Below are 15,583 nucleotides of genomic sequence, written 5' to 3' on the forward strand. Positions count from 1 at the left end.
GAAATACCTGGGTTTGGCATCTGACTCTGCCACTGATTTATGTTTTTGGCATGTTGTTCAGTCTCCTGTGTCTTGCATTTTCTCATCTCAAATCTTCAGAGATGTCAACAGAAAACAAATGTGGAAACCCTTTGAAAAAATTAAAACTTCTTAGAAAGGTGAGATGCTCTTACCCTCCTTATTTTGATTTTCATTTTTGAACACAAAGTGGTTTTACTTGGAGGTTCTTAAAGTAATAATGAACACAGTCATTCTCATAGATAAGACTAGCTGTCACTTTCTCTCAATTCATGCAAGTGTTATTAAGAAACCACCTAGGGATGATAATATGAAATTAAGTGTAGTGAATTCATTATGGATTGCCTTTCTCATTTTTTACAAGGTTTCCTGATAGCAAAGCTAATAAAGTATAAATATGTTGAGGTGTCAAGTATTTTTTTTAAAGAGATTAATTAGAGCTCAGTCCCTAAGCTATTTGTAAATTACTATACTTTTTCATTGTAAAGTGTTTAGTGGAAATGCTGTTTTAATAAAATGATTATAGATTATAAATGGTTTCATTAAGTACTTTATTTCCCTGTCACTATACCAGTTCTACAGAAATAAATGACTTTAACGTTCTTTTTGCTGATAATTTAAATGAGATCTAAAAGATGAAACATTATTTTGAAACAAATTTAATTTAATTGACCCTGCATGGCTTGGAATCTTTGCTGCCCATGATCCTTTTATGATTAAATACTAAAGAAGAAAGTGTAATGTGAATATTTTTCTTTTATTTCTACATCATGGGATTCACACTTCCTGAGGTGAAATATCTTATTCTTTTCAGATAATATTAGTAGATGTATTAGAAATTTATCCTCTCAGGGGTTGTGCTGGTCAGTTTCATCAACAAATGGAATTCAAGATCCCTTAGTAAAACGAATGAACTTATGTAACAACCACACCCTACACACAATTCAAATGTGTGTTAAATATCTTTGTGTTCAGACAAATTGATAGCCTAGAGATCAGTATGTGCTAGCTTATAGTCCTGCAAACAAGTGTGATGTTTATTCCATTTAAAAATTGCCACTGAGGCGGGCTTACGCCTATAATCCCAGCACTTTGGGAGGCCGAGGTGGACGGATCATCTGAGGTCAGGAGTTCAAGACCAGCCTGAACAACATGGAGAAACCCCATCTCTAATAAAAATACAAAAAATTAGCCAGGCGTGGTGGCAGGCGCAGTGGCAGGCACCTGTAGTCCCAGCTACTCAGGAGGCTGAGGCAGGAGAATGGCGTGAACCCAGGAGGCGGAGGTTGCAGTGAGCTGAGGTTGCACCACTGTACTCCAGCCTGGGCGACAGAGTGAGACTCTGTCTCAAATAAAATAAAATAAAATAAAAATAAAAAAATAAAAAAAATTGCCTAGATAAGCAAACATAACTACTCAAATTTCATAAGATTTTGTAAACTTCTCTCAGTGCCAAGAAAGTAAGCCACCTGGCAGTTTTTTTTTTTTTTTAAAGTGAACCAACACACAAGGATATGCACCAGAGCTGGGCACGGTGGCTCATGCCTGTAATCCCAGCACTTTGGGAGACTGAGGCGGGAGGATCACTTGAGCCCAGGAGTTTGAAAACAGCTTGGACAACATGGCAAGAACCTGTCTCTACAGAGATAAAGAAACAGCCTGGAGTGGTGATGCATGCCTATACTCTCAGCCACTTGGGAGGCTGAGGCGAGAGGATTGCTTGAGCCCAGGATTTCACGGCTGCAGTAAGCCATGATCCCACCATTGCACTCCAGCCTGAGTGACAGAGCAAGACCCTGACCAAAATAAAAAATATGCACTAGAATTGAGTGTTAATATTTCACCTGAATTTGGCTCAGATTTACATGGGCTATGAGAGCATTTTTTATTTTAGTTACCATTTCTTATTACTTATAATTATATTCTCATTCTGCAGATATTCTCAGGAGGCAATAAGCCTGGTGGTAATTGAGCAGATTTAGTTTTTTGAAAAAATATATTGACAACTATATTTTTCCTGAGAGTGTAAAAATGATTCAGAAAATATCTGCTATTTTAAGTAACATTTTGAGTGTAATATTGCATTCATTAGTTGAATGTCCTGAGATTTCACATGTTAAATGTAGAGTTAAGTACAATTAGTAGAAGAGTATTTTAAGTGGCAGAGATGGGCAGAAATTATTTTGTGGAGTGAGATTAGTTGAGTTCAGATAAGGACCCTCTATTAAAGAAGAAATAAAGGAATGTGGATTAGAAGACAATGAAAGACTTTTTGGTGAACTAATGTATACTTTCTGAAGATTTGGGAGTGTGTTGCGGGGCGGAATGCAAAGGCAAATTTGTAGTTACATATCTAGACATGAAAATAGAGGGATAGGCCAAGTTCACCTGATGGAGAGCTTTTAAGGCTACATTCTATATTTGATGATTGTGGTTGAAATTTTATAATTATTAATAGTATGTATGCTCTGAAAGGTAAAAGACCTTGTAACCTATATGTAATTCTTACTGAGCCCAATACTTTGGGATATACTTAAATCCTAATTCAATATAGCAGATTTGAATCTTATTATCAGTGGAGTGCATTTAATTGAAATCAAATTGATTTAAACATCTAGTAAGGAATTCTCAAGTTTAACCTTCTTTTCCACCTCTGGGTACATTCATATGCTTACATCTACTCTCAAACCTTAGAGGTAGAAAAAATTTGATTTAAGAGAAGATACACATTTTCATTCAAATTGATTGTTTAAATATTTATAAGACTAATTTTCCAGATACATTATAAAACTGAATTGTGCTTTGGACATTCTTTTCACCACAGCTAACTAATATTATTAGTTCTAAAATGTAAGATACTAAAATAATTTCCAAATCAGAGGTCTGACATGATATTTAAGGGCTATTTTTACATATTGTATTAGAAGTGCATTGACCATTCTCAAGAATAATAAATATTTCAAATATTGTATTTAACTAAAATAACACCAGTGTAATTATTTTAATAAAAATAATTTCAAAAGAGCCCTTGAACTCCTGGGCTCTTTGAAATTTTAACCGTTCTACTTATGACTCAAAAAAGCTTAAAAAAGATGGATGTCATTAATCTCTACAAAGTGTATCTATTGTTCTGATAATTCATGAGGTAATTATAGGACTAATGCTTTCTAATTGTCTTTAATGTGCAAATATCTTTAATATGTTTTCTCATAGTATATGCTAATATATGTTAATTTTAAATAATTTGAGCAATACAGAGAAAGAAAATTCCATAATTTTGCTCCCTTTTTCTAGAGATAACCACTATCACCAATTGGAATATATTCTTCCAGACTTGTCATAGGTAAATGGTAAGCTCTCAAGCTCTCATATTATACTATAAGTACTCTTCTGTTATCTGCTTTTTAAGTATGCACACACACACACACACACACACACACACACACACACACAATGCATTTTAAGATTTATAGGTCTGCATCACCCATTATATGGGCTGTATAGGATCCTGTTACATGTAATGTACCATAATTTATTTTGCCAGTCCTTGGAATGGATGTTTAGTTTATTAGTTTATACTTACTTTTTAAAATATCAGCAGCATGGCAGTGAACCACCTCTTACTTATATCTTTGCTCATTTACTCAAGTATTTCCTTCAGATTTCTTTAAATTCCTAAAAATTAAATTGCTGGATCAAAGTAGATGCATCTTTAATGTTTTAAAATATATTATTACATTACCTTCCAGAAAAGTTGTACAAGTTTATATTCAATGTACTGTTGTACAAAAATTTCCATTTCCCTACCTTTAGTAATCTGATAGGTAAAAATAGTCATTTTATTTGTCTATACCTTTGTAAACATATATATATACATAATGTATAATTATTTGGGCATCTTTTTATATATTCTCTAAACAGTTATATAATTTTGTGAATTTGTCTTTTCCAAAATTTGTTTGTGAACAATTTTTATAAATTAAGAAACACATAGCAAATATTTCCAGTTTCAATTTTTTAAAAAATATCAATACAGTTTTAAGTTTCTATATGGTCAAATCTATCAATCTTTTCCTCTATGCTTTCTGGTCTTAATATATTTGTTAAGAAAAGGTCTTCTTCACCCAAAACTATACAAATATACTCTTATAGTTTTTCCTAGCATTTCTGTGTTTTATTTAATCTTTAATCTATTTAAAATTATTTTTTGTCTGACATGAAGCAGAAATCTAGCTTTTTTGTTCAAATGAATACTCAATTCGTTAACACTAATAATTGAATAATGTATTGTTTCCTTTGTTATTTAAAATGCCTCTTACAACTGCATCCATTGAAACTATCCCATTGGGCTTTTCATTACAATTTGATTGTATTTGTCTGCTAATTAGTGAAGAATTTGAATTTTGCCAGTAGTATGTTTTTGGTAATTTTTAACATTTTTATTTATTTAATTTTTCCTTTTAACTTTAAGTGAAATAAAATTATATAAGTTTTGCACATATCTTGTTAAGTTTATTCTTGACTTGTTTATAATCTTAATTACTGATTTGAATGGGATTCCTCTCACCCCCATTCACCCCTGCCATTATGTTTAGAAACAGGTTGGCATATAAGGCAGCTATTAATTTTTCTATATTTATATTATATTTTGCCACTATCACTTTTACTGGTTTTAATAAGTTTTTCATTTGATCTTTTGGGATTTTCTCGGTAAATAGTTATATTTTCTGCAAGTAATAATGATCTGTCACTTTCTTTACAATATTTTACGCTTAATTTCTTATCTTTATCTTATTGCTTTGGCTTAACTATCCAAAATTATATTAAAATATAAAGTAAATAAATAGTGGGCTTTTTTGTTTTGTTTGCTTTTTGATTTTCATGAGAATGCGTCTAAATCTTCAGCAGTTGGTAAAATGTTTTCTCTAGGATTCTGAAATGGTTTTGATTATGTTAAGGAAGTTTTCTTCTCTTCTCAGTTTACTGAGTTTTGTTGTGAATTGATACTGTATTTTGTCAGATGTCTTTGGGGTAGTTTCAGTTATGAACAATTGTTTTTCTCTTTTAACCAATTTACTTATTGAATTACATTGATGGACTGTCTCATGTTGACTCATTCCTACATTCCTGGAATAAATCTGACTTTTTGAAGAATATATTTCTTTAATACATTGCCATATCTTACTTATTTTCATAAAAAGATCTATAATTCACTTCTCTGGAATTTTATCAGATTGTGGTCTATGTTTTACAAAGTACTTTAGCATGCTTTATTTCCTTTTTTCCTTGACACAGCCCTATGAATCAGGCTAGGAATTATATTTTTTTGACAAATAAAAATTATAGACATAGAAATTTGCTTTGCAAAAAGTCATGCAAGTAGGTGGTAATGGTGAGTAAAATTTATTAATCTCTAATCCAATACTTTGGTTTGGAGAGAAGGAATTTAATTAGTTCAGTAATTTCTATCAGTACGATATTTATGGACTTTGAGTTTTATTATCTCAAATAAAAACTATGCTTATGTAGTTTTCTTTTACATTTTTCTAAGTTGAGAGAATGAATTTGTTTCCATTTTGACCATGGAGGCTTCACTGGGTATGAATGGGGGTGAGGGAGAGTTCACCCTAAAGGAGTCCCTGAGCTGAGAATATTCATTCTCTGATATCTGCCATCTGTTCCTTGAACATGAGCAGATGCTGATGTTCAGTTAATCAGAGGTAATGCAATAAGGATTAAAGTGTTAGATAGTTCTAACCCATTCCGGAAGTTATGGGTAAAACTTAAAACCTTTAATCAGATTCATCTTGACGTTGAAACCAAGTTGGCTATTTGAGCCAAAGGTTCTGTATCTCTATGATAGCTAGTCCCAAAGGACATATTCTATTATTGTCATTAAGAGAAAACATATTAAGGATGTGTTTGCACACAGCATTGGGTCAAGATAATTGACATTGTATTTTATATGTGGTTCAGAGATCTGTCTTATGGAAAACTCAGAGATTGCTTTAAGGGGTTTGTTGCAAAAGAAAGATTCAATTAGGCAGTTTAAAATAATTTAAATGTCAGTTTTACAATACAGACTTAATACAAATGCAAGAAGGAGTCCATTTGTTGATATATACACCAATTTATTAAATGGTAGAATAGACTTCTCCAAATCTAGAGAAAGATCAGTTTAGACTATTAATGTATTATTTCTTAAGTTTGAATAGAATTAGGTTTTTTAAAAATTGAAATTGAAATTTAGTCTCCTTGTCCCAAGTGACATACATTTATAAAATGTTTTTAAAAAGTAAATTCACTGTTTTTAAATCTTCTACAGAATATTTTTTGTAATGAAAAACCTACATGTATATATTACTGTACAGTACAATAGAACTGATTTCATTTCTAAGAAATACCACTAGTCGTTATATATTTTATGTCATTGAGTTGAATTTGTAAGTGATGCATATAACCTGGAGTTTTGTCCTTACCAAATATTGCATAGAAAACCATAAATTCCTGGAAATTGACTATTTTTCAAACTATCTCATTAATGAAAATTTATGCTCTGAAGAAAGGCTAATTATGTCTCTTATTTCCACTTAAGCTGGTATAACTGTAAATGATTTTCTTATTTTTATAAATCACATCTGTTCTAAAACTTAGCTCCAATAACACTCTATGATAATAAATGGCAAAACTCACATAATATTGAAGCACATTGGGTATTTCCTTTTCAGTTTTAAATATGCTTAATTCAAATTTAGATGATTAAAGAATATATTTGGACTCCAAAGTGACTAAAATCAATGAAAATAATATATTGGTGTGTCATAGTTGGGGGTAAATATTACCATTAAAAACTGAAAAGTCGAGAATGGTGTGAACCTGGGAGGCGGAGCTTGCAGTGAGCCGAGATCGAGCCACTGCACTCCAGCCTGAGCGACAGAGCGAGACTCCGTCTCAAAAACAAACAACAAACAAACAAAAAAACCCCTGAAAAGTCGCAAGGAAGGAAAAACGATTCTGTGAACTCACTACATAGGACACAAAGAGAGGTGGGAAATTTTGTCAGGAATGTTCGTGACATGAACTCTATTTAATAATGTCTTATTCCCGTTGATATTTTAATTTTTCAGATAAAGTATTTTAAGTAAATGTGCAACATTAATTAGAATAAAATATAAAAGTATGCGTCTATTTGAAGGCCTACCTAATTACATATAATTTTCTGATGAATGCCCTAATTAAGCATCAAGTTATATGTTTATACCTGTGAAATAATTGGAGCATTACATTTAATCTTTATAACAATACATTGAAAGAGAAGTATTAGCCATGTAGGTATTAAAGGTATACATTTAGCTAGACTTCATCATTGACTTTCCTTTTAAAGGGACATGACATCCTGTTTTCCATCAAGAGAACATCGAATTAATCCTCACACCAGAAACAACAGTCAGTGCTGGCATAAGCTCCGCCAGGATTCCTGGGCCCTGCTGTGCAGGGGTCTCCTGAGGAAGGACAGAATCGTATCTCGGTCTCCAAGCCCACTTGGTTCTTGGCACTTCTGCTAAGAGTTGCGCAGGCTACCTATTAATTTTAAATGTATTGTTTTTGAGGATGAGGCAGACATCTGTCTTAGAGGGACAGGACTGATAGCCGCAAGTCGTTCCTCAGAGGCTGCTGAATAAATCGTCAGATGACCTTTATTGTTGTCACCCTCATTTTGTTCAAATTGACGCAGCTAAAGCACAGTATTAACAAAACTACGCATTGCATGCAGCAGTGGGATTAGTGAAAAGGACCATGTTGTTGACTAGAGAAATGGAAGTTCACGTATCTCATAACTGCGTACGAAGCAGTGGACTGGGAAGGATACAAGAGGAGAATGACAAGATTAAAATAAGAGACAAGGCCTTTACATGAAAGCAGCTGACACTACAAAGGACGTAGTACTTCTGTTTAATAGGCCTCATCAGCCTTTTATGCTCCCTTGTGGGCTTGGCTCATGAACATCTTTAATGTTATTTAAAGCTGTTTTTATTGTTTATTTAGAAACATTCTTTATACATTTTGCTCTAATTATTAAATTTGATGATCTTTGTTCTTATTTACTGATTTAATTAGCTACAAACATTCATACATTAAAATTTATTCCGGACAACATTAGTGTTGGGATTAATGATTTTTTAAAGAACAAATCACTTGTACAATGCATAGCCCAGAGTAGGGGCTCAGTCAATCTTTGTGTAAATGGAAGTTGTATTTGAAATAATCCATTGGATGTGTATAATAAGAATCATTCTTGCAGAAAAACCCTAACTGGATGGAAACTATACAGAAGAAGAGCTTGAGATAATCACTTTTATTTAGATTGTCCCTTCTTAATGAGTTCTAATGAGCAAATGATTGCAGTGAGGTACAGCACAGTGGAAGCTTCTTCTGTTTACAAAAACAAATCAATGGTACTAACTACCCACTCTGAAATGGACTCTTTTTTTTTTCTCAGCACTCTATCACTAGCTTTGCCTGTAGAACATCAATTATTTTTGCTTCCAAGTGAAGAGAGTCATTTCAGAGAAGATGTGTAAAATTTAGAGGGTCACTGGCTGCCCATATTTTAATTAGTATCCCATCCCCACCACAGCGTATATATCAGTGTGGGTTTCCTAAAGGAGATGGCTTTAGTGCGTTTTATTAAATGAATCACCTTTTATAAATAAAATTTAATGGTAAATTCAGACATAGAACTTAATTTGGCTAGAGAAACTTGCATGCATACACTTAGCATTGCCTTTAATTAATTCTGTTGACTTAGAAGATGGTGTAGACAATAAATGCTTTTTTTATTGATCATAAAATAACTGTTCAGATCCTTACCAATAAGGGACCCACTAGGGAAGGCCAGTGGTTTACTTGGGTTATGCTTCAGCTACTTCTCAATAGTGGCCATTAGGACCTCCACTCCCACTGCATCACAGTGACCCTGGGTAAGTCACATGGTATTAACCATAAATAAGTGCATCACCTGTTTGTGTCTCTGCATTAAGTAACTGGAGTTGACCATGGGAATAAAACTTGGGAAAATTTAACGTGAAATTAATGGTATAATTCTATAGTTGCAGACTTCCCTTTTCTGAAACTTGAAGGCAACAGATACAGTGATGATCCCATCTCTCCCACCATCTTGAATTTTGTGTGAACTGTTAGGCCTTGTGTATGGGTAAGGGTTTTCTCCAGAACACTTAACTGCCAAACATGGATGTGATTTTGAGCATAGGCCCATTGGAAAGGCAAAATGTATGCATCAGAACTGAATTCCATTCTGTGATCACAATCCAGGTTAGTGGAGCCAACATTTTTGAGGATAGCCCTCTCCTGGATTTATTACTCTCTGCCTCTGCCTGTTATTCGGTCTCATTTGGGGCCACTTTATCTCACTTAGTATATGGTAGTAGCCATCCTGGCTGTCTTTCCCACTGAAGGACTTTTGTTCCTTCCCTGGAACCCTTTACTCTCAGTCTTGTCATGGCAGCAGTTTGGGTCTCATTTCGTTCTCTATCCTAGGCATCTTAAAAGGAACACCATCATGGCACATGTATACATATGTAACAAACCTGCACGTTGTGCACATGTACCCTAAAACTTAAAGTATAATAATAAAAAATAATAATAATTTAAAAAAAAAGGAACATAAGACATTCTCTTGCCCAAGTTAGCAGTAACTGCTTAACTGCTGAATTCAGTAAGCTTATCTTCAGATCTTAATTTCCAACACGCTTTCCTTTTAGTCTTGGCTTCTGTGGAAGCTCATTCTCCTGGTTTTCTTACCCCTCAGCTCTTCTTTTCTTTTAGGTCTTCTCTCCTGCCCAGCCTCTAAATACTGGTGTTCCTCTGGGTTTAGCTCATCTCTAACTGCTTTTATTTAATAGGTGACTGTACTATGCTCAAGGTTCTATTTATCCCTTTACGGGTATAACTTCCAACACTGAAACTGCAGCCCAGACTTCTCCCTGGAGGTTTGACTCATATATCCAACTTTCCATTGGGCAACTTCACCTAGATGGCCCATAGTCATGTAAAATCCACCATGGCCCAAAGTAAACTTAGTTTCCACTTCAACTTCACTTCCCCTGATATTTCATACCTCATTTAGTAATATTTCCACTCACTTCTCACTCAAACCAAAAACCTAGAAGTCATCCTTTACTCAGTCAAGAAGTTGTTTTACCTCATGTTTCTTGATATTTCCCACTCTTCTTCATCCTTTTTATTAGGAACCTACCTAATCCCTTCATCCTTTTTATTAGGAATCCTTTTTATTAGGATACCTTCCTAATCTACCTAATACCTTCATCCTTTTTATTAGGAATCTAGCTCAGGCCATCACTATCTCTTTATTGTAATGCTGAATGAAATAGTCATCTAATGTACCATCTTCAGTTTTGTCCGTATCAAATCCCTTTAGCACATATGCAGAGTGATATATCTAAGATAAAAATGAAACCTTATCAGTTTCCTCCAAACTCTGTAATGTGCTAGACTTTGTCACAGAGTAGGTACCTATTCTTGTTTGTCAAATGAATAAATGAAGAATAAGACCAGAGGCTTCTCAGTATCCAAGGTTGGAGTTATCTGGATTCTAGATTGTATATTGTCTACCATCCTTTGAGAATGTCATGTATCAACCAAATTTTTGTTTCTCAGTTTTGCTTGGAACTTCACAAAACCAGAATGAATAGCATATTTTTATAGTGTATAGGTTGTATATATGAACAGATAGGGTCTGTATGGTGAAAATCAAACCTATGTGCCTATATGCTTATCTTTTAGTATAATCTATTAAATTTTTATTAATAATTTCTTAAGAGAACTTTTCAAATATAAATCTTTCCCTCCCTTACACTATGTAGCTGGAGTTCAGTGTTATGAAACAAAGATTCCTTCTCATCACAGTTTGACAACTGGTGTTTTGATTTCTAGTCTTTAGAGTTGTGTAAATTTGTTCTAACAAAGAATCATTTTAGAACTGTTTGCTTAAAAAAAACTTGCCAAAACACCAAAAAGTATATGTGATGATATAATTAGATATTTAAATATGCTCATGAGGTCAAAGGCAGGGAAGCTTGGGCTTGGTATTTCCTTTACTCACTTTTAAATTTTTGTACAATGCTTCAGTGTGCATTTTTTCCCTGTGTGTTAAAATATACATAACATAAAAGTTACAATTTAACCATTTTTAAGTGTGTAAGTACACTTAAGTACATAACCATTTCTAAGTGTATAAGCATTAGGTAGATTCACATTTTTTGTGCAATTTCAGTATACTTTTTCCTGAATTTATATTGAAATAATTTGATATTTTCATGATTGAGATCCAAAACTTGTATTGAATAAGTAGAGTTTTCTGGGGGCTTATCAATGTGTTTTGAAGAAAAATGATTTTTTTTTTAATTTTGATTAAGGAGCTTGCATTATATCCAATCTTATTGGGCTTAGGGAGAGCAAATGTCAATGGGAATTTATGGAAACATGTTTATTAATTTGGCTTATCTGAACTTTGTTTCCAATTTTAGTTTAATAAAATTATTAAATATTTTAATACAATTATTAAAAATATTAAATATTTAGGAAGCTGAAAATATTTTGCTGTTGTGACGAGTCTCATTTAATCATGATTGGTATCCTATTCCTAACAGTAGTAGATAAGCAACAGTGTTGTAGAAAATAATTTAAAAATTAAAAAGACATTTGGCCATTTTCCCCTTGTATTTTGAAATGATTTCTGAGTTTAGAAATCAGACATTATAGCATAAGATTAGATAGAAATTATCTTTATGATATAAATGTAATAGAAACAGTGCTCATAGGTAAATCAATCTTGTGTTGTTTTAACAAAAAAGTATTTGTCTATTGCTTTACTAGTTCATGAGACTCTTCTTGATTCTGATGATTGAATCCTTTATAAGATATTGAATAATTTCAAAAGACAGTAGATCCAAAATGTGAAATATTATTTAGAGATGTTCAGAGACCATATAAACCCAATTTTGTTAATTTTTTTTAATTTAACTTATTTAAATGTGATTCCTTTCTTGAGAAATGATAATTTGGAGACTTATGCATAGAATATTAGGAAGTAGAAAGGATTGAATTCAATGTCTGACTAATTATTGGACTCAACTACAATATGAGGTTAAGCTTTAATTTAGGGGACAGAGGCATGACAATGCACTATTTATCTTAATAAATTTAAAGCGTTTGTTGTAAGCTGCTCAAAGAGAGACTTTGGTTGTGGGGCAGGAGTTGGGTGGAAGGGGTATTGGTACTTCAGCCTCTTGCCTTCATTCTCATGTGAGGAGAGTTAGCTTTGAAATAAGCTGAAAGACCTTGTAGTTTATAAAAATCTCCTGGAAAGATGTTATGGTCATTGGAATCAGTTCAGTCATCTAATGAGCTACACATTGGCTGGAGCACACCTGAACTGATAATAAACTTGGTTTCTTTTGGAAAGTGCCAAAAGTACCCATCTTCCCAATACATACACAACATAAAATTTACCATTTAACCATTTTTAAGTGTATAGTTGAATTGTGTTAAGAGAGAATTGACTCTCATTCAATCATCATCATCATAATTATGTTTTGTATTTACCAAGAAGGAAAACTGATACTCAACCTTCAACTTTTTCTAGTCTGTTTACCTTAATATTCCTACTTTCTCACCATCAATCTGCCAAGATCTTCTTGAGGGAATACAGATGTAGGGGTGTAGGACTCTGGTGGTGGTGAAGCTTAGAAGGAGATTTGGAGTCGTCCACCCTTCAGTCCGCTGAGGCACCATTTCCATCTCCCCTCCTCCCAACCTGTCAGAGCCAATAGCATGGCTACTGAAAGAACAGCGTGATTGCTCTCTGAATCCAGACATTGTCCTTTCCTATGACAGACCTGGAGAAATATCAGACAACTGAACCTTTTCCAGCGTATTTTGAATGTACGTAATCTTGGCTGTAGTCATCAGCAGACAAGATAATTATTCGTTCACACATGCTCTGGCCAAGTTTTAGCTCATTTGGAGACTTGTAATGACTTTGGATTCTGTCCTTTGTAAAATGACAACCTAAGAATCATGTCTTTTTACTGGTTCCAAGTTTTAGGTGGGATTTTGATATAAGTTTTATAATCATGTAGGAATTGTGGGTCAAAGCAAGAAATAAGCATTATGGGCAGGTGGATTCTTTTGCAGGCTAGATGTAAAACATGTATTTCTTGAAGGCTTGGCATTCTAGGAGGGAATGTCTTGATTTAAGGAGATATGGCAGAGAAGAGCCTTGTAAGAGAAAGCTATTCTGACATGAGTGGTTTTGTTCTTACAAATAAACAGTGACTCAAGTCAGTAGCAGGGCGATAGACTGTGGAGAACGCTAGCATAATATCATACTTGGGGTATAGGAACCATATACATTCATTTAGAGTAGCATTAATTTCCCATTTAATATTTGTTAGAAACTATTAGAGATTTTATCACTCTGCTGACAACAATTCTATTTGGAACATGAGCTGCTTATATAAAAATCATTTTTAATGTGAAAGCTCTCATTAGCTTAAAAGGCAAATGAAATGGTTAGCTTTAAAAGCTGAGTCACAGTCTCATTTACCATCAGAATTCACAGTTTTCTTCTTTATTTTAATTAGTAGATTAATCCTGTCTCAGCAATGCCATTAGGTGCCTGCCTTGATGGTGTGGAAAAATACACACAAACATCTGATATTTCTGAGCATTTGGGTTGTGACAAATTTAAATGTGTTCTAATAGATCATCTGTGTATAAATAGCTTAAGATTTATAGATGTTTTTTAACTTAAGGATGAGGAAACTGACCACTATAGGATAATTAAAAACAGCAACTCTTTGTAAATGCAGGAGCTAAGTTGTCAAATGCCAGGGCACCAACAGGCAATATTCTGTAATCTAAATTGGGTAATTTATATCATTGTCACTTGAAGATCTGATATAAATTGGAGTCACTGAATCATCCCACCAACATCTCATAACTAAAGCAAATTTTGTTTCCTTTTCATGGGTAGGGTTTTAGTCAATTGAATAATAAATTATCCTGTCTTTTCTGAATCATAGGATAGGCAAGCTTCTGTAGGCAGAACTGATGAAATGAGGCCCCAAAGAAGATATTTTACCCTGTTTTAAAATATTTCCAATGAAGGATATGGTCCAGACTACTTTGGTTATACTTTTCAATATTTGAAATAGTAATCTTATGTGGTTGTTTGAAAAATATTTTCAATTTATCACCGAAGATTTGTCTGAAATGTTCGGAAGTCAGGAATGAATTAACTTCTATATAACACCCAATATCCTGGTCAGTACCTACTCATAGTCCTACAGTTACTGGGTGTAAAAGGCAATGCTCCTCTTCCTTTGAAAAGCATAACCTTTCAAGCGCTTACAGTTTATAAAGAACAGTCACGCACATTTTCTCTTTTCAGTCTCACAATGACACTATGTTATATGAAAAGATTATTAATTCCTATCAGAAATTAAGATTGAGAGAGGTTAAGTGACTCACTCAAGGTGATATATTTAGGGAGTGGAATAATTACAACTCAAGAACATGGTGGCACGTTCCTGTAATCCCAGCTACTCGGGAGGCTGAGGCAGGAGAATCGCTTGAACTCGGGAGGCGGAGGTTGCATTGCACTGAAATCACGCCACTGCACTCCAGCCTGGGCAACAGAGCGAGATTCTGTCAAAAAAAAAAAAGTTATTTTTGCTCCAAGGACAAGGTACTTTGCACTCTACATTTTGCTGACTCTTTGGCATGCCCTATAAAATTGGGCATGGTAAACATGCATTACGACTCTTTTGGAAAATTTGTTCCTGGGGCAATCACGTGAATTGGGATGTGGTTGGGAGCATCATTAATTGAGTCTGTGGTCAGAACAGAGACTAGTATAAAGAAATACCCAGTGTAAGTGGCATCAGTCAGATATTCAGTGTAAATGAATTGGGAATGATAGACACAGTGAACGGTCCAAGACTGAAATGAAATCTATCATCTCATGAGTATTCAGGGGACTGGAACTATATTTTAGGAAGGACGATAGGTGAGAAGGCCTAGATACAATCAAGAAGGAAACAGCCTCAAAAAATAATAAACCTGCTTAAGATACCCTCTTCTGAATGGATGGAGTTTGATGATCTGTTGGCCCTGTTGGTCAGGGAAGGGTGAAATGGGCTGAGGAAACTGGAATTCTGTAACACTAAGATCCAAGGACACTTCCAGAAATGGCATTTACAAGGTGCAAGTGTTCCCTGTAAATCTTCTGGCAAAGGGCTTTGAAATTTAACTTATATTGGAAGAACCTTAAAAAGTTAGTAGAGCCATTCATATTTCTGTTTGGTTTAAGCTGTGCCTGCTAATAACATTGCACTGAAATGCAGGCGTGAATTCCTATAATGTTAAAATCAAATTGTTTACCTCAGTTTGAAAATTTGCTCAAATGAGAGTGATTGGCTATTGTTAGCTCTCAATTTGACTTTCAAGACACCTTGAAATA

At 33.9% G+C, this 15,583-nt stretch overlaps 1 protein-coding gene across 4 annotated transcripts in view; it reads left to right on the forward strand.

The window, feature by feature from the left end:
* Window positions 1-15,583, forward strand: part of PLCL1 (phospholipase C like 1 (inactive)) — a 345,271-nt gene that overhangs the window by 263,075 nt on the left and 66,613 nt on the right. The window contains exon 1 of one of the 4 annotated variants that reach the window (XM_005246644.5): window positions 3,351-3,368. The exons of the other annotated variants lie outside the window; for them this stretch is intronic. Coding sequence (XP_005246701.1) covers window positions 3,366-3,368 — 3 coding nt within the window. The 5' untranslated portion in view covers window positions 3,351-3,365. Of the gene's footprint in view, window positions 1-3,350; window positions 3,369-15,583 lie in introns of those variants that run through there. 4 annotated transcript variants of the gene reach the window in all.

This window comes from Homo sapiens, chromosome 2 (genome assembly GCF_000001405.40).
Source record: "Homo sapiens chromosome 2, GRCh38.p14 Primary Assembly".
Taxonomy (NCBI): domain Eukaryota; kingdom Metazoa; phylum Chordata; class Mammalia; order Primates; family Hominidae; genus Homo; species Homo sapiens.